The sequence below is a fragment of the Homo sapiens genome, chromosome 15 (genome assembly GCF_000001405.40).
Source record: "Homo sapiens chromosome 15, GRCh38.p14 Primary Assembly".
Taxonomy (NCBI): domain Eukaryota; kingdom Metazoa; phylum Chordata; class Mammalia; order Primates; family Hominidae; genus Homo; species Homo sapiens.
The window spans coordinates 60908092-60928781 of NC_000015.10; the positions used below are offsets into that span (position 1 = coordinate 60908092).

The following is a 20690-nucleotide window of genomic DNA, read 5'->3' on the forward strand; positions in this document are numbered from 1 at the left end:
CTCTGCCCATAGCTCACCCAGGGCATGAGTGCCTTCTGCAGTTTAGTTTATAGTTGATCCATGCTGGTGAGGCCTGCCTCTGAGTCAGGGCCACCATTAGCCTGGCCTTGAGGGGACATGCACCTTCATGCCTGAGCTGACCGTAGGGTGTGTGTGGAGGGGGCGCTTTTGGTGTCCAGAGGCACTTGGCATCACATTATATCCATTTAAATATGTTTTCCCTTGATTCTGAATGAACTGAGAGAAACAAAAAATACTAATCAAAATGGAATGCAAATATCCAAGGCTCCTTTCTCTCAGAAAATGCCCTATTTTCCCCCCTCCATGGTACTAATGTTTTAGAAATAGAAGGCACCTCTGGAGAGACAGGATAATACCAAATTTTCAAATCTGTAGAAAATGAGTACAGGGGTAGGCGGCACTATTAGTGCTACTAAAAATAAGCTTTGGGAAGCTACAGTAAATGGAAAAACCAGAAGAGTCATTCCTTTTTTAAACTGTACTGAAAATCCTGTATGTTCAGGAGCCATTTTCTCCAGAGATTCCAACAATAATACTTGGAATTCAATATCCATTTCTACAGTGGTCTCTCTCCCATTTTGTCCCCCTCCCTTCACCACTGCCCCAGTAATGCAGGCTAAATATTAAGCTTATTACCCCCACAGAAAGCGTGGTTCTGCCAACTGAACATTGTGCCAGATACCAAGAATTGAGGCGATTATGCCCTGCATGCTGCTTGGTATACTGAAGATGGGCGTTCTTTTACTTTATTTTTATTTCATTTCATTTTTTTTTTTTATTAAAGAGAGTTCTACTGTAGACAAACAACCCAGGGATTGTTTGAAGAAAAGGGATATCCCCTCAGACCTGGGGATGCATTTCTCCCTCAGTGGCTAAACCTCTTTGTCATTATTACCTCCAGAGAGAGACACCCAGGGATCTGCTCACACCACCCATCTCCAGGCAAGTTGAAGCATGTCCTGGAAAGCCACCTGAACCCTGGACAGCTCCGCCTGACTAGAGAAATGGTGGCAAAGGAATTCTTGCTGTGGTCCCAGCGGTGAGCATAACAGAGTTACCTCTCTCCACCCCAAATATTCAGACTGCAAGGACACTGGCTCCCAAGCTTCGACCTGCTTGGAGTTCCATTCCAGGTACTCTGCTGATGTCTCGGCCAGCCTCAGCCACAGACTCCCAGCTGAGCTGAGCTGTTCTGAGGAGTCAGGAAATTTGGGGGATTTTAACAGAGAAACAAAGCCTGGCACCCCATGTGTCAAAGCTCTGGATACTAGCTCTTTAGAACCTAGGTGGGCTAACGGGAAAAGTCAATGTTAGCAGTAAACCCAAGATCAAAACTTATTCCATGCCTTTCCATCTTCTCTCAAACATAGCCTTTATCGAACGATTGAACCCTCACACACATAAATAAATGGAGAAAGATGTACTCTGAAAAAAAACCATAGAAAATAGAGTCACAAGTTATTTATAAAGGGGAGATTTGTTAAAGTAGCCAATCTACTTCCCTCATTTTATAGGCAGAGAGACAGAGGAAGAGCAGGTTGAAGGTTCTGAACAGGATCCCCACTAAGCGTGGGTCACATTAGGGGACAGAACACTAGCATGGGCTTTTGCCTCCTAATTCAGCGTTCTCACCACCCTTGTTGTTCCATAGAGCCTCTGGAAAGAGAGTGGCCTCAAGTGGGACTGGAGTGAAAGGCCAAGATTGAGAACGCCTACCTATTTTTTACAAGGTGGTCTGGAATGTATTATTATTTTTTTTCCTTCTTTATTTCAGTCTGGGCATTTTTGCCTCTTAAAAGCAGCTAACCCTTTACCACGGAGGTGATGCAGAAATCTACTCATCAAGTAAGCCTGAAAGCCCTTTGATTCCTGCAGAAAAATCTATATGTGCCCTTCAGCCTCATAATTGAGTTGCAAAGGGGAAAAATAAAATTGTTTCCTGGCTGTGTGGAGCCATTCTACCCAACATGCCAATAAAAAGCAAGTGGTGTTTTTGTCCATAGGATGTCCAGGTTCAGAGTCAGATCCATGAGGCTAAACAAGGGCTAGGTTATTACCAACAAATGATTACACTCCAGGTTGTATTGAACAGAGTGAGATATGTGAACTCTTGAGACTAATTGGAAGGGGAAATGTCAATGTTGACATCCCCTGACTGGATTCCCTAAACCACAGTGGAAACTAACCCAGAATCTTAAAAATGCTGGCTTCCAGAAAGCCCTATTCTTATCAGGAAATGTGAATATTAATCCCAGGCAAGTCACTTAGCCACTACTGTTTTTCTTTGCCATCAGATAGTAATAGCCATCTGCGGTATCTTTTTTCAGAAAATTATTTGGAAGATCAAGTAAATAGAGTAGAGCATTTTAACTAGTGAAATACTCCTCTTATTCAATCACAGTTATTCTCTGCAGTATGTGGAAGCAGGTTAACACCATCTACCTCAAAACAACTTTGTGAAGTTGGGGGTCCCGTTTTAGACATGGGAGGACTGAGACTCAGAGAGTTTAGGTGGCTCATCTAAATTCACAAAGAACTTAGAGAGAAACAGACAAGGTACAAACCCAGATTGGCTAGTTCCATCTCATTTTCTCCATGGAATCACATGGCTTCTCTCTTGATACATGCAAAATGCTTTTAAAGGTTAAAAGAGTGATACTGTAACAACTAATTGAATTCATCCCCACACTGTCAGTCATGTCAATATTTAGGAGTTCACACTTCTCTCCATGGACATAAATCATCTTTATGAGGCTCTGGCTGTTTTTTTTTTGTTGTTGTTGTTTTTTGGGTTTTTTTTTTTTTTTTGAGATGGAGTTTTGCTATTGTTGCCCAAGCTAGAGTGCAATGGCGCGATCCTGGCTCACTGCAACCTCCGCCTTCCAGGTTCAATGATTCTCCTGCTTTAGCTTCCTGAGTAGCTGGGATTACAGGCGCCCACCACCATGCCCAGCTAATTTTTTTTTTTTTTTTTTTTTTTTTTTTTTTTTTTTTGTATTTTTAGTAGAAACAGGATTTCACCATGTTGGCCAGGCTGGTCTCGAATTCCTGACCTCAGGTGATTCACCTGCCTCAGCCTCCCAAAGTGCTGGGATTACAGGCATGAGCCACTGTGCCCGGCTGACTCTGGCTGTTTTTGTAACTACAGTAAGCTCCTCTGTGACGGAAGCTCCTAGTTGTATCTGATTCACTGGTGGACTGATGGAATGCCTGGACTAGTCTTCAACACACCTTCTGCTCTCAAGGCCATTTCCACGGCCATGTTTGAGAACATCAGATCAACCCAATTTTCTGTCATACTCAGTCAGTTGACTTTACTGGCGGACAAAATAGATAGTTGCCTTCCTGTTGTGATTTCTAGGATCTTAGGGGAAAGCCCTTCTTCTTCACTACCCTTCTATCCCTTCCCTTAAGGTTTTAAATCCTTGAATGAGGATTTTAAAAATCATTCTAGAATGAAAGACAGGTTTAAAGTGCAAATATATTAAAAAGCCAAGGACGCATTCTTTAATGAGTAAGTAAAATACTAAGCAATTCGTTTTGGGAGAAAGAAGGGCTAAAAGAGAAAAGTGTCAGGTAACGGATTTTTGATTTTTTTTTTTTTTTTGAAACAGTCTCGCACTGTCCCCCAGGCTGGAGTGCAATGGTGCAATTTCGGTTCACTGCAATTGCCAACTTCTGTGTCCAAGTGATTCTCGTGCCTCAGCCTCCCAAATAGCTGGGATTACAGACGTGCACCTGGCTAAGTTTTTTTTTTTTTGTATTTTTACAAAATACAAAAAAGACAGGGTTTTGCCATGTTGGCCAGGCTGATCTCGAACTCCTGACCTCAAGTGATCTGCCCCCATTGGCCTCCCAAAGTGCTGGGATTACAGACATTAGCCACCACAACCTGCCCAGTAACTGATTTGAGGGAAGGTCACAGAGGTGGAGAAAGGGCACAACAGGCATATTAGAAACTCCTCAGTTTGTCCAATATTTTGCTTAAGGCAATGCCTGTTAAACTCTCTGAACCAGACCAGGTGCAGTGGCTCACGCCTATAATCCCAGTACTTTGGGCGACCCATGTGGGAGGATTGCTTGAGGCCAGGAGTTTCAGACCAGTCTGGGCAACATGGCAAAACCCTGCCTCTACAAAAAAAGAAAGAAAGAGAAAAAAATAGCCAGATGTGGGGGGGCTGCATCTGTCGTTCTAGCTACTTGGGAGGCTGAGATGACAGGATCGCTTGAGCCCACGAGTTCAAGGCTACAGTGAGCTATGATTGCACCACTCTATTCCATCCAGCCTGGGCAATAGAGGGAGACCATGCCTCAAAAAAACAAAACAAAACAAAACAAAAAAACAAAAAAATCACCACCTCGCCGGGCATGGTGGCTCACACCTGCAATCCCAGCACTTTGGGAGGCCGAGGCATGTGGATCACGAGATCAGGAGATCGACACCATCTTGGCTAACATGGCGAAACCCCATCTCTACTAAAAATACAAAAAATTAGCCAGGCATGGTGGCAGGCGCCTGTAGTCCCAGCTCCTCAGGAGGCTGAGGCAGGAGAATGGCAGGAACCCGGGCGGCGGAGCTTGCAGTGAGCCAAGATCGTGCCACTGCACTCCAGCCTGGGTGACAGAGCAAGACTCCATCTCAAAACAAACAAACAAACAAACAAAACAAAACAAAACACAACAAAAAAAATCACCACCTCTAGGTGCTAGAGAAACAGTGTTTGGGGAATCCATTAACAGGTGTGATTTAAAAATTTTTTACAACTGCTTTACTGAGGCATAGTTTATATACCACAAAATCCACACATTATAAGCATCCAATTTAATGATATTTAATGATTTTTAGTAAATGTATAGAGTAGTACAACCATTACCATAATTTAGTTTTAGAAACAAGTTCAATTTGAAAAAAATAGTGCTTTGAAAAGGTATCACTGCTTGCCCATTATAGCACTATAGGGTTTATTCTTACTGATAATCTGCCTAAAGTAGGCTCCACAAAACACTGGGTAAGGGCAGCCACGCTTTGGAGGACTTCCTCTTTCCCTGGCTTCTGAGTGATTATGTGCTGGGATTCAGGAGTGAGCTCAGAGCTCACCACCTCGTGCTCAGGCTCAGGGAGGGGCCCTTGGTGTGGACATGGAAATCCCTGCCATGTCCATAGCCTCTATGCTCACCACCTGGAAAGTTACAGAGAGCTCCCAGTTACACCTCTGGTTTCTAGAGCCAGTAGAGCAAGCCTGTGATCAGCCCCTCCACCCCAGCCTCCTACAGCCACCTCTCCCAGGAAAGCCTAGAGGAAATTGGCCAACGTCTTGGTATTCCATTCTGGTTGCCAAGTGCCCTTATTGTTTTTGCATTTCTAAGAGACTGTCAGTACAACTTCCCCCGTGACTGCCACGTGACAGGCTGTGCTGTCCTTTATCTCAGGGCACCAAATGACTTACTTCATTCCAGGTCTTTCTGTTTCACTGTGAGTCAGGTGGAAAACAGAAAGGTGGCCCTATTTTAAGGGAAATGTTAAAACAAAGACAATGCTGTGCTTTGCTGGCATTTGTTAGCAGCAGACACGGTTAAAGAATGGCTATGGGCAAATATTTGGATGACTATAGAATCTGCTTAAATACTATGGATTTACTGTATAGGGTGTCAAAGTAACAACTGTAGAGTTAGAGTCTATTAAAGGGGGTCTCAACAAAAAATATTTATGCCCTTATATGCATGCTGCTTTGTCTTTTGAAAATTATCTTTCCTGTTTTTTCCATCTCATAGTTCCCTCCAAACAATTGACCACTCCTTTTGCCATGTCACTGCTTCCTATGGAACTCAGTCCGGTGGATTAAGTGTTTCTGTTAATGTCTGTCTCCCTTTCACACTGACTTTTGTATGAAAGGGACCGTGCCTCTTCACCTCTGTAACTCTAGTGTATACCATGGTGTCTGGCAATAGATGATCTGCACTCCATTGACTGGGAAGAGGCTGTGAAAACAAAGACGGGTGCACGTTCAGAGCAAATATTTCCTGCTTTGGCTGTGCTAATTTGCTGTACTTTACACAGTCAGGGAATGATGTGTGATCATTTGTTGAATTAAGAAATTGTTTTGGACTCAAGAAGCACCAAATGTAAACTGCAATGTCAGACTGCGAGAGAAAGGGTGGGAGGCTTTGGGGAAAGGGCTTTCCCAAAGTGCTTGCCCATGGGGAGGTGAGGGGGAATGCAGGCTCCTAGCCACAGAGAATGAATTCATTAAGTCCACCACCATGCTTTGTGAGAACCAGGCAGCCACTCCTCCTTACATACAACCCCAGTCAGATCTATAGCCATGACAAGAAATACAAAGGTGTGCTTTCTATTTGTGGTTTATGGAATTGCCTTCGGGATTTGACTTTTATCTACCATGTCCACTGTTCTGCCTCCAAGACCTATCACAGTACTTGGCACACAGAACGCAGTAAATATTTGTGATGCAAATGAATATTTCATAGTCCAGCTGGCTTCTTTCCCATGTTTTTTTTCTTTAACTGTGCACTAAAACCACAGTGTCCCGGAATAAATTTTCTATTGAACATCTCACTTGACTGGGAAGTAATCTGTGAATGTGATAAAGAAATGGAGAGCAAATCCTTGGAAACCAAGGCTTGGGAGTTCCATCATTTAGGAAACAAAAGCAGTCAAGACTAAAAATCTCAGACATCGTAAAGTGATTACTCACCTTCTGAAAGACCCCAGAAATATCAGAGGACACCGGGGGTCAGTGGGCCATCCAGGAAGAAGCTTTGGTGAAGGGGAGGGCACTAATGTTTCTTTGGCACTTATTGGGTATTGGGCCAAATGCTTCCACCTTTCATTTCGGTACTCACAAGAAATCCTACCAGATGGTCATGGTGATCATGCCTTTCCGAATGAGGAGGGGAGATCAGAGAGACTATCTATCATACCCAAGATTGCCCAGCTAGAAAGTAGCCACACCAGAACTTGAACACTAGCCTATCTAATTCTAAAAACTCAGCTTTTTCCAGCCCAATATGTTCCTCTGGATTTTAAGTCCCAGGAGGGCAGAAACAAGGCTATGGGCAGTTATCTCTGTAGCCTGCTCTCCCCAGCATGGGCCAGAAGAAGCATCAAGACATGCTTTCTGAGCTGCATTTCAGATCATGAGCATTGGGACTTCTTTCCCCAATAAGTGGTCTGACTGAATCCTGGCCACTGCCTCCACAGGCACTCACCTACAGAGTGCTGGCCCTGGAGGAAGTTCTCAGGCAGCACTGATTCCACTGGGGGGGCACAGGCCCCAGTGCAGAGGAGGGGCTCATTCTTAGGCACATCACTTCTCCTCTCTGGACCTCAGTTACTCATCTAAATTGACATGATTTGCCAGATTGTTTCTCGGCATTGTCAAAGTTTCCATGGTGGCGCGAATACTCTATTTCTGCACAGTACAGTACGTTCACCACTAGCCACATATGCCTACTGAGTACTTGAAATGCGGTATGACTTAAGAACTGAATTCTTAATTTTATATCATTTTAATTAATTTAGATTTACATTTAAATAGCCACATGTGGCTATTGGCTCCATTATTGGGCAGTGAAATGAGGAAGCTTCGGCTTGAAGAAGTGGAAGAGGAAGCAGCATAAGATCAGAATTCTAGCTCGCTCGAATGTGGGTTCAAATCCCAACAGGCTGTGGGGCCAAGAACAACATATTTACACTCTTCAAGTCTCAGTTTCTTCTTCTATAAAATGGAGATAATAATGGCTTCCGCATGAATTTGCTGGGAAGATTAAATGAGATAAAGCACTTAGCACATTGCGCTTCACATAATAAGGGCTCCTACAGGAAGGCTATTAGAAAAAGTTCATAAAACAGCAGAGACATGGGGGTGTTTCTTTCCCTGATTAACCCATTATTTCACTCACCAACATGTCACATCTCAAATTGACTGGAAGGAAAGAAAGGTTTAAAATCCACTGGGTGGGGCACTGGAGGGGGAGGTGAGGAGTGATGGAGACAAGGCAGTTCTGCCGACTTTACACTTTTCCCAGGGCTGTTCCTGTATGTGTCGTTTGACTGATTGGGTCAAATTACACAAGATCTAGCTAGATATTCAGATTCCCTCCAATGCGTCTGTGTTGTGTAATCCTCCCTGCCTTGTAAAGGAACAGATCTGATTGGCCAGGGATTGCACAGGTGGCAACTTCACTGAGATTCACAATGCATTGGAAACAAGGGAAGAGACCCTGGTATTCTATGACAAACGTGCAGACAGTCTAAAACATCAGGACAACATTTTCTATGTGATTTAGCTGGTATTTCTGAGCTGGAATAATTAAACAGAGATCTATCCACTTGACTAAAAGAGGAAGCAGTCGATGAGGAAGTCAGTCCCTAGCTCCCTTTGCCCCGAAATATGCCAATTCTGAATATTTCGCATCAGCTTCCTCTTAATAAATAGCTTACCACTCATCCATCCCTCGAAAATATCATTAGAATTGCCTGGATATATATATATTTTTAAATACCAATGCCCAGGCCACATCACATTCAATTAAATCAGAAAAGGTGATAGGTGAGTATGACACTCAGGCATCAGGCATCAGTATTTTTTAAAGCCCCTCTTGACCCCCAGGTGATTCTGACATGCAGCTAAGTTTAAGGTCAAGTGTTAGAGATCAGGGTAGAAACTCAGGAGTTAACTGCACGGTGAGCCCTGATCTGTATCACACACTCAGGGCCTAATCAGAACATGCTGATGTTTCGCTTAGCATACATTGCTTATTGCAACTAGAATATTTCTCAACCAACATCCTTCTTAATAAAGTCTAATTTGGGCCAGTTCTACACTGTTAGTGTTGACAGGGAAATTCCCCATCGCACTGGTGATGGGAGGGGGTGGTGCTTTCAAATCAAGCCTTGAAGAAGTATCCGGCTTCCAGAGCCCAAAACCCTCAACAGAGGAGCTGCTTCAACAACTTCTGCATACTGCCACCTGGTGGGGCCTGGACCCAACTTCATCACAGCTCTTCAGCCTTGGGCACCTACCCGCCTCCCCAAACAGATGTAATTTAGGAAAATGTCATGCATTTTCAATCCAATTTACTGGTGCCTTCCACATTGATCAGACTTCCTTCTCCTTTTTCCTCCCATCTGGTTAATATAATTATTGCTTTTACGTGGCAAAGCCATTTTATGTAATAGCTTTGTTTGTTACTATGGTTACAAGTTTAGTAGCCCTTTGGAATATAAATCTATCATCCCTGAAAGTAGCTTTCTGTGTGTCAAGGTGCAGCCCTTATGTAAGGAGAGTAACAGCGTTAGTTTTCTGTCGTAAGGAAAGTGGCCTTTCTTGGTCTTATTTTTGAAAGTTCTACGAGCCTAGCCTAGACACTCCCGGGAAACTGCTGGGTGCTGTCCCACTTTTTCCCTCTGGAATTTTCCTAACTGACGAGGCATCCACGAGCAGCTCTATCTGGGAGAAAGTAGGGAAACGTCGGCCGAGGGGCAGCTGTGTTTGCTGGGCCAGAGCCCTCGCATTGCATAACTGGTGTTTTTCCTGGTCAGTGTACTCTTGGCTGATTTATTTACCAGTTAAAGGCAAGGGCTGAGAATATAATCTCTCAGGAGTTAAGTTTCTTTGCGTGTAATCCCTTTCCCTCACGCATCTGAAGCATCGGCCCTTATTTCCTGATGGAAGTGGAGTTATAATCTCCCTTTGGAAAGTGGTAAGAGTTCAGTGCTGGGTTCAATCTGCCACCCTCAAGTGACAAAGCGTGACAGCGTCTCTGCTATAGTGCTTCACACCCAACTGAATCAGACGCAGCCCTCTGAGCACAAAAGTGGGATGGCCTGTGAAGCTGGGCTTTCTTCCCATTCTCAGCCAGTAACAGCAAACCTTGGAGAGTTTATACCATGTGTCCCTGTACGTAACCTCATCTAATCCTTTCGACAACCCCAGGAGGTATGCATTGCCATCAAGTTGGCATCACTCCCATTTTACAGAGAAGGAATTTGAGGCTCAGAAGGATTAAGCACCATCCCCAAGTCATATAACTAGTGTGTGGGACTTAATGTCTTTGGAAAGTCCTGGTTGCTAACTTAACAGAGCCTCACTTTCCAGATTCAAGGAACCATGAGAAAACAAAGAGCAGGCAGTATCAATGCCTTCACTAAAGCCTTGATTAAGCCAAACTGAACAAACATCAACAATCTTCTTCCCTCTTCAGGAGAAAGTTACTGGTTTGGTAGGCCATTAGTGAATTTCCAGTGGCTACTAATTAACTAACCATGTCATTCATGTTTATTATCACAGAGCAGGTACGTATTTATTTACACCACTCACACGGCAGGATAATTTGCAGTTATATAATTTCATGGTAATTACGATTGGAATTGCCATGTAGAAACTGGGCACTTTGGAGATGCATGATTACCAACAACTAGCTACCTTGGAATTACCCATTAATGACATGATTAGTTGTGGCTTTGTAAGAAAATGTTGTTATGAAAGGGACTTTATCTTTTCATTCCCAATTGACAGAAAAGCAGGAACCTTGGAGATATCAGAAATATTTTTTTTCTTCTTCTGGCAGGTGAAGAATGTAGTTGTGCAGGTTTGTCCTGTTTCTGGGCATGTCTGGGGTGCCTTGGTGACAGGGAGGGAGCAGAAAGAGATGTGTGAGCTTGAGCAAAGGGTGCAGGCCCTGAGCTGTACCAGGCTAGTCTTCAGGTCTGTTGAGCCAGGGTACAGCCAGGAATTACCAACTTGTTAGGCAGAGAGTAAGGAAGCTCAGAAAGCCCGTGCTTGAGCTAAGGGGTACGAAACCCAGGAGACTGAATGACTGCCTGTCCTCTGCTCTGTGGGGACCAAGAGAATATAAGGAAGGCAGAAGCAGAGGAGGTGGTAGGTTCCATCTACTTATGATGCTACGAAAAGACATGCGGCTTATATAATATGCACTAGGCATGAACCACCCTGCCCCCAAATACAAAACTGGTCTCCAGACTGTATTTCTTGGCAACAGTGGCCTCCTTGGCTTTTCCTCCACATCCCCTTGAGTTGACTATCCTCTGAGGTTGCTCTTGCTATTGATTCTCACTGGATATCACTGGGCATGGGGAGGAGAAACCCACACAACGGGGTGCCTGGCATATGAAGAATAAGAGAAACTTTAGCTCTTAGAACTGCAGGAGACCCCTCGTTTAATAGAGGAGAAGCCCAGGGCCCAGCAGGGGTGAAGGAAGGTATGGTCCAATGTCACAAAGCAGATAAATGGCAGAGCCAGGCCTGGAGCCCACACAGGCCACCTCCGAGTGATTTTCCATAATGCAATTCCTTCATGAGGGAGGAGTTGTTGATGCCTCAAAATTGAGACTAGGCTACTATAGATAATACCTATATAGGGAGTGCCTCTGCATCCATTATAGAGGCTACTCTGGGATATTTAAATACATATTTTTTACCTGATTACGGCACCTATACAAAGACTCCTGTATCACATTCCTTTCACTGGTCAAGAGCAGGCAGACATTTGCACCTCCTGACCTGCAATGCCCCCCTACTAATAGATAATGAGAAATCTGAAGTCCACACTGATTCCCTTTTCCTCTAGCTGCTAGGAAGCTGAAAAATCCATCTTTTCCTTAGGTAGGAGTTTTCATTACGGTTTTCTTTTCCTCTCTTTTGCCTGATATCTGCTTTTGTTTTATATATTGTTTTGATCTTTTTGTACCTATGTTTTTAGTATAAAATTTCTGGATGCAGGTAGGGCTGTCAACTAATCAATAACAAATAAACAAATAATAATCTTCATGCTTGGTGTTCAACCATGCAGGAAATAAAATCTTATAGAACGTACAGAAGAGCCAGGAAGGATCACACACTCCACTGTGCTAACTGCATACGAAGGAGAAGGGGAAGAAGGCTCAGTTTTAGTGGAAAGGAATAGGAAAGAGAAGAGGCCTCTTCCTTTATCAGCTCCCTCACAGCTTCAGCAGCACTATCTCACCCCACTAACCAAACATCCAAAGGACTTGGAGGCAGAAAAGAAAGCTTCCGGAGACCTTGGAATTATGTATGCATCTATCTATGTATCTATCTATATATCTAAGTATCTATGTTTCTATCTACGAATCAGCCATTTTATCTTCCACCTCTATCATCTAAGTTAACCTTTCTCTAATATTTCTCTAAGGCTAATCTCATCATCTTTGTCTTAAAGAAGCAGACTCAGAATTAAGTAATGTTTTCAACGTCAAAGAATAAGTAGATCTGGGATTTGAACCTATGCCCATTTGTATGTGAAGCCCACATTTTTTCCTATCATATCACCCACATCCTCAGACCATGGCTGTCACCTGGAACTGTCAGTAGGCCACCCATTTTAGGTCTCTCTTAGGCCTAAAGTCACCAAGCTTTACCAGTACCCAAACTGGGTGCTAGGAACAACAGGCTGGGCACTAAGATATGACAGATGTGGATTACCACATACCCCAGGGAGAAGCCTACATACCATGGGTTCATAGTTAACAGCGAGCTATTACAATAGATATTGTTCATCCTCAAAGATGAAACTGTGATGAGACCATTGCTATAATATTGACAAATCTTCAGGTACACCAAATGTGAAGATGAATTTTATTGAAATCTTCATAACATTTTTCCATTTGCTGATAGTTTAAACAATTATGTTCATGTTTCTCTCTGTGAGATGACTTTTGGTGTCCTGAAATGACATGCTATTGTGTAAAACTACAGATGCAGGACACCTCAGTGGAGTTCTTTTCTTGCATTAAACTCACTTCAAGGAAGATTTATGAAGCCTTGAAGGTCTGGATTGGGCCTTGGGGCTCATGATCAACCCAGGACCAGAATATCAAGGCCTAAATTGCAGTCTTGGTTCTACCTCATAGCCTCCTAAGACCCTGTGTTATTCTCCAGTCTTATAGAACTAATCACATAAAGTGGTTAATTTCTTAACCTATTTGTAGAGACAAATGGGTGATAGAAAGAAAACTGGAGCTCCTGGTTCACATATGCCTACCCCATGCCCCTGCAATTCCACTGCCAGGATATATCCAACAGAAATCCATACTTATATCCACCTGAGGACATGTATAAGAATATTCACAGAGCCACTATTCATAAAAACCCCAAAATGGAAATACCACTAATTCCATCCCTAACAGAATGGATCAATCATGGCACATTTCTACCGTGGAACACTACATAGCAATGAAAAGGAAAGACCCATTGCAGGCATCAACATGGACAAATTCTATGCACAGAATGTTAGGCAGAAGAAGCCGTCCATAAAAGAGTACATAGCACATGATTCAATTTAAATGAGGTTCAAAATATATGCAAAAGTCATCTAAGGTGCTAGAAGTCAAGACAGTGGTTACCTCTGAGGAAGGGTAGTGACTGGCAAGGTCATGAGGTGGTTTTGGAGATGCTGATCCTATTCCATTTCTTTATGTGGGTATAGGCGATGTGTTCACCTACAAATTCATTGAGCTGCACAAATATGATCTGTGCACATTTCTTTGTATGTGTTATGCTCCAATACAATTAAAGAAAAAACAGGGTTCAATTCCCATCTCTGCCACTCACCATGTGGCTTTTGGAATTCACTTTACCTTTACGCTACATCTTCCTCATCTGCGAAACCAGCATAATACAGTTCACTAACAGGGCTGCTGTGAGGATCTAATAAGAAGCTGTGTATAAAACACCTAGCACTGAACCTCACACATGGTAGGTGCTCAATATATGGTCATTCATTTTTAAAATTTTAAAAATGTGATGGACAATATTGAATATACACAAAACTAAAGAGAATACTATAACAGACCCCCATGGACCCCGTCACTGAGCTTCAATAATTATCAGCCTATGGCCAATTTTGTTTTATCTGCATCTGTCTCCCCAACCGTTAAAAAATATATGCACAGTCTACAGATATATGCTTGTTTTTGCATATATACATCAGTTTGCATCTCTGAGAAATAACTCTTTTAGAAAACATAATTTAAAAAGATCAGTGGTTGTTGGGGCTTGGGGGAGGGAAGGGTGAATAGGTGGAGCACAGAGGATTTTGAGGGCAGTGAAACTGTTCTGTATAATACTATCATGGTAGATACATGTGTTTATAAATTTGTCCAAACCTGTAGAAGGCACAACACCAAGAGTGAACCCTAACATAAACTATGCAATTTGGGTGATAATGATGTTGGTTCATTGATTATAACAAATGTGCCACTCTGGTGGGGGATATTCATAGTGGGAGAGTGGGGGGAAGGGGTATGTGGAAGCTCTTTGTAATTTCTGTTCAATCTTTCTGTGAACCTCAAACTGCTCTAAAAATAAAGTCTCTTTAAGAAGATACTCACATCCATGATCATTAAAGACTACTGCTACTATCCTATTTCTTGTCCAGTTTTCCTAACTCATAAATATATTTTCACAACTGTTTTGCTCAAATCAAGATCCAAACAAGGTATACTTAGTATGCATTTCTTCATTCTTAATTAATTCAATGTCTTAACAAATCACAGAGTCAATAGATAGGAAAGCTGTTTATGACTTTGGCCACCAATCACATAATACTTTGTGAGGAGAGAAAAAAGGGTATTGTCATGAAGCTTCCTAAAAACACCCAGAGTTTCTGTCTGTAACACTCTTCTGAATTCTTTAGAACCATGGATGGTTGCTGTCACTGTCAAAACTACATCTAATACTATAAAGGAAAGACCCTTTAACACAAGACTGTGAATACAAATGGCAGAGCAGATACTATTGTCACACATATATGCAGAAGAGATTCTGTAAGGGGTATTTCCGGGAAGACAGACAAGGTGTGATATCTGGTGTCACTGTGTGTATGAAAGAAGCATTTTAAGATCCTCAAATAAACATACCGCCCAAATTAAGGTGAAAGTAAAGCAGACAGGACCCACTTTTTGCACTTTGTATCTTTTCTCTCTGCTCTTTCAGCACTGCCCAAAGAAGCTGTCGTTTTCATCTTGCACACAGGATGCCGTCCTCTGAAGTCTGAACAAAGGCCGGATCACATGCCTAAGCAGTATTTTACCTTGTGCTGATTCCTTAAAAAAACAGATTGTCTCCTGGATTGCATGCATCTAGAAGTTCTTACCACGTTTTATTAAACAACCAGCTAATGCTTCTGCTTCCTCTAAGGAGATCATGAGTCCCCCCACTCCCGAACAAAGGGCCTTCATTTTATTCATCTGTGTATTCCACATCCCAGCACAGCACCTGGCACATAGTGGGCCCTCAAACAAATGTATGTGGGATAAATGAACAGATGAGAGTGAAAAGAGGCTGTGACGAAAGCACTGGACGGGAAGCTGGAGACCTGAGGTCATCTAGGCCCCTGACACTCAGAGTCACTTGAGTCAAGGCACCAACTTCCGTGGGCTTCCGATGATTTCTAGGGTCTCTCCCAAGTCTTTTTAAAAAAGGCACATAATCCTAAAATGTGCTTACTTACTGCTTTGCTGTGTTGATCCACCTAGTGACTTATATCTAAAGACTAATTGCTAAACAAATTACTGAGGCCTTTCCGAACGCTCCACAGCAACAAAACTTTGTTTTTCCCGTTGCCCCATACCTTCTGTGTCATTTATGTTCCCACTACAGATCACAGTGGCAACAACCCCACCCAGAAGAGCCAGGAAAAAACCCTCCCCTCTAACTCACCATAGGGCTTGCCATGTGCTAGCTGTGGTTCTGCTAAGTTGTGCTGGAAGCTGGAGTGGGCAAGGGCTCAGAAGCCTTCTCTTTCCCCCTTAGTCCATGCCTGGCCCTGCTGTGGGCAGAGCTACGATGACTGACCATGATCATGTGTGAGCACGGGGCAGTGTGTTTTAAGGGGTGAGCACTGGCAGAGGTGGGTCCAGAAAGGGCCAGCCCACTGAAAACTTCCCAAGTGGGTGAAACTCACCTTGGCACTTGCTCTCCTCTCTCCTGCCCTCTATCCCATACCCCATGTGTAGCATTCCATTCAAGAAAAGAACTCTGACTTTCAGCTTGTTGACAACTTATCTCCTGAAGGTGTTAGCTGACAACTTTTCTGAGGCAGAAGATGTGACCAATATAGGTGCTGGGAGAACGGAAGGAAGGGGTTGAGTTACATTTATTCAGTACTTTTTCACTCATTTAAAACTAAGCACACAACTGAGAGGAGTACTCTTCTACTTTTAAGAAATGTTCTTATTGTATCACTGCCGCTAATATACGCTTATAGTCTAAAAATATAGAAACAGATTTGAACAAAGAAGAAAACTAAAGTTACACATACTATAGTCCTTTAAAATTTTAGAGCCTTCTAGATCTTTTCATATATTTATAAGTGAATATATTTCTTACGTGCCTGTAATCATACTTCTGCTCATCCGATTTAATGTAATTCTATTGTATCTGTAATGGAATAGAAATTCTTGTCCTTGGATAAGTCACTGGCCCTTTCTATCCTCAGATTCCTCATTAATCAGTAAAGCACGAATACACAGGAAAATTAAGTCGTGAAGCACTAAACCACAGGGCGGTGCGTGGAGGCAGCCAGGCCATGTGGTGGAAATACTGTGAACTATAACAACCATAGAGATATGAGGAGTGATTATTGATAGGACACATTACCATTTCCAAGGATTTAAAGGTAATCAGGCCAGGCACAGTGGCTCATGCCTGTAATCCCAGCACTTTGGGAGGCCGAGGTGGGAAGATCACTTGAGGTCAGGAGTTCGAGACCAGCCTGGCCAACGTGGTGAAACCCCATCTCTACTAAAAATACAAAAATTAGCTGTGCGTGGTGGCACATGCCTGTAGTTCCAGCTACTTGGGAGGCTGAAGCAAGAGAATCCCTTGAACCCAGGAGGCAGAGGTTGCAGTGAGCTGAGATTGGGTCACTGCATTCCAGCCTGGGTGACAGAGCAAGCTTCTGTCTCAAAAATAAATAAATTAATAAAATAAAATAAAATAAAATAAAATAAAATAAAATAAAATAAAATAAAGGTACTCTAACAATTGAGGAAGTGCCTCCTTATCACATCCTGACAGGCGGACCCTTGCTGCAGCCACAGGTGTAGACTGCTCTCTCAATGGCATTTTTTGAAAGTTGTCAGTTTCTTGGTGCTGGAACCTCTCCCAGCTCAGAAGTTGTCACCTTCAGACTATCTATCTTCTCTAAATGGGATTGGCTTCGAAGAGAATATTTGAAATGTCCCCATATTCAAACTGAAAGGAGACAGGCTGGACCAGTAAGACCAGCCAAGAGATGTTGAGTTACACATATTGTTTGGGGCCACAGAGCCCTACTCTGTTTCTCCTCCACCTGTCTGATCCCACAGTACTAACAATACATTGTCTGTAGGCCCAGTTGTAAAGACTCTCGCCCCTGTGGACTGGCTGTCCTCAGAGGGGAGTCAGGGAATCCCCAGCGGGGCTGTCATGGAGCTTTGGCCCAGCAGCCCCACAGCTCACTCAGAAATGCACTGCATGCCTGATACAGTGAATGATCATCAGACCGGCCATTGGCGGCTGAGCACTTTGCCTTTCTGGGCTTCCGTTTCTTCACTGGAAGCATGAGGGTGTGGAATCCAAGGACTATCAGAATTCCTTCCTGCCCAGATGCCACGAACCTGTACGTTTCTGTCCATTTTTGTGTTCTGCTGGTACTCAGGACAGTGCCTGTAATAATGCAGGTACTTTGAAGTATCTGTTGAAGGAATGGGTGATGAATAAATGGGTGGAAATTCTGTGCTTACGATGAGTGGAAACACAACGGTTGGTGGGAATTAAACTCTTAACACATCACATGGTGACCAAAAATGCTGAGGCCATATCTGGCCTGCATGGTCTGACATGATTGGAGGCACCCCTGAAGGTGGGAGGATAGAGTAGATTGAATGAGAACTGCTCTTGAACAACTAGGATACAAGGCTGCTATATGAGGGGCCAGAAAAGATTGCATCAGGGCCTGGAGATGGTAACATTCATGACAGGTATACATCTATGGTTTTGGAGGCATCTCCATATCTGCATTTCTTATAAGCTTGTGCATATAGTGACACACAGCTATTCGAAAGCCAAAAGTCCCTCAATCCAATGACATTTGGAACAGAACCTGGAGCATAACCTGGAAGGCACCTGCAGCAGAACCTGGAAGGCACCCTATCTGACCTGGCATCAGCTGACACCTGGCTGTCTACAGCTTTCCATAAGCCCTTGCCAAAGTCTCACACTCCCCAACAGGCCCATGGACTCAGCAGTACTTGGAGACCGAGTCACTGGGTAGATTATAGAGTTATCCCAGCCCCCATCTTGCTCAACCCCAACCTTGGGTGCATTGACTTCCCAGTGAAACAGAACATCGAATGACATTTTAAGCACAGTGGTACATCTTCTCAGAGAGGGTATTTGGCTATAATATGCTGCAAACTTTAAAATGTGCATATACTTTGCCTCTGCAGCTTCATTTCTAGGAGATCATTTGAGAAATGCACAAATATATATGCACATGGATGCTCCTTAGTCTCGTTTATAAGAGAAAAGCTGGGAACAAACTAAATGTCTATTACTACATATCAGCTGAATACATTATGATTTACTGATGAATGAAATATCCCGCATCATAAACATGACGCATAAAAATATCACAAAAGATGTCCACAAGCTACTATATCATTGACTAAATAAAACTGTCTATATGATGTAATTAATCCATGTATGTAAGTACATCCAGATAGACTGTACAGAGAGAGATGACTGGAAGGATCCTCATGGAAGTTTTAATTTACTACCTGGCTCTTGAGATTTGGGGTAAATTTTCCTCTGTGCTTCCTATTTTTCTTTACAGTTGGAACACTTCATGATAAGTGTGTTGTTGATATCAGGAAAAAATTATTATCATTTTGAAATAAAAAATAATTTTATTGGAAGCCTTGGAAGGGAAAAAGAGTGGAGATCTCTCCAAACAGTTGAAATGAATTTCTAAGCAGGTGCACGCTAGTCACACACATCCTTCCCACCTCTCTGACCAGATAGGAAGTGCTCAACACATGTGGACCAGTTCCCTACTAGCTGCCAGGTAACCAATACGTGAAGCAAAATGGGGATTCTACAAAGTGAGAGTCCTAAGGAAGCTCTATCCTATGCGATATGGAATGGAGGCAAAGGATGTGTCCTACTGTCATCTGTAATGTTCACTTCCCAGGACCCAGCCATATACTTGGCAGTAAGTAGCTGATGAACATTCCAACCATTATTAAATAACACTTCTTTCAATTTCGAATATAGTCTTTGCAGCTTCCTCTTCCTTCCTACTTCTAACTACAGGGGAACATAAAAACCTGAAAACCGTCTGACTGTGGTGGCTCATGCCTGTAGTCCCAGCACTTTGGGAGGTAGAGGTGGGTGGATCACTTGAGGTCAGGAGTTCAAGTCCAGCCTAGCCAACATGGTGAAACCCCATCTCTACTAAAAATACAAAAAATTAGCTGGGTGTGGTGGTGCACATCTGTAATCCCAGCTACTGGGAAGGCTGAGGCATGAGAATCACTTGAACCTGAGAGGTGGAGGTTGCAATGAGCCAAGATCACACCACTGCACTCCAGCCTGGGTGACAGAGGAAGACTCTGTCTCAAAACAAACAAACAAACAAACAAAAAACACTGAAAAACCTAATCCCTGCAGAATGCAAGCGTCAGATTTTGAGACCATTCAGTCCGATGTTCTCATTTTATAGAGCAGGATACTCATTCTGGAGAAAATAATTCAAGTTGGCTATTGACAGTGTCTGGATTAGAACCACAGTCTTCCAGCCCTGTTTTCTCCTCACCTTCCTCACAGCCATGCCCTTGTTTGGGGCCCGTGCTTTCTCTTGTTTGGACTACTGCAACAGTCATCAAGCAAGATTTTCCTCCCATCCTCCCATCTTCTCCAGGTCACATTCCCTGGCACTAGAGAATCTCTCTGGAACACTGAACTGCCCTGCCCATATCTTTTCCCTGAATAAATCCCTTTAAATGTTCCTCATAGACTCCAGGACAAAATTCAGACTCCCCTGCATCTCACATGAGCCTTTTGCAACATATTCATGGACCACAGTGGCACCCTGAAGAAATAATCTTTCACACACAACAGCTGGAAATACTTCATGTTCCTTTATTGTCAAGTAAATGAGGGTTTCTTCCAAGGGACTATCCTGTAACTACTTAATTTAAGGATTAACTAAAACAGGAAGTGCTAATCAGCTCCTGAAAACACAACCAACATTCTAGGCGGGAAGCTCGTGGAAGCCAACAACAAAAGCATTCGCGCTCAGTATGCCTGCCTTCCCCTTGGAACCTAATACATGGTAGGACCTCAGTAAACACTACTTGCCAAATGAATAGACTAAGTAATAATCAGAAGTGGAGAGGTTAAACTAATACAATGGGCAGTGAAAAGAAAAGCTGTTTTTCGTTTTCTTATACCCCTTAGAACTGAAAAAGACTCTGAGTTTGTCCAATTCGACTCCCTCATTTCACAAGGAAGGCATCTGAAGCTCAGAGAGACAAAGTGACCGCCCTAAAGTCCCACAGCATGTTCATGGGAGAGTTAGGACTGTGCTGGGAGCTTCTGATGGTTTCCACTGTGCCATGCTGACTC

General features: G+C 43.1%; 1 protein-coding gene across 2 annotated transcripts in view, besides 2 other annotated features; it reads right to left on the reverse strand.

Moving 5' to 3' along the window:
- Nucleotides 1-20690, reverse strand: part of RORA (RAR related orphan receptor A) — a 741019-nt gene that overhangs the window by 419808 nt on the left and 300521 nt on the right. The gene's annotated exons all lie outside the window — the stretch shown is intronic.
- Nucleotides 148-1347: an enhancer, noted in NCBI's record as "MED14-independent group 3 enhancer chr15:61200438-61201637 (GRCh37/hg19 assembly coordinates)". NCBI's record gives its function as "activates an origin of replication core promoter dependent on BRD2, BRD4, P300/CBP and CDK7 cofactors, and independent of MED14, by STARR-seq in HCT116 cells {active_cell/tissue: HCT116}" and the evidence as "EXISTENCE:reporter gene assay evidence [ECO:0000049][PMID:35650434]".
- Nucleotides 8745-8854: an enhancer, noted in NCBI's record as "active region_9519". NCBI's record gives its function as "activates an Ori minimal core promoter by ATAC-STARR-seq in GM12878 lymphoblastoid cells {active_cell/tissue: GM12878}" and the evidence as "EXISTENCE:reporter gene assay evidence [ECO:0000049][PMID:35858748]".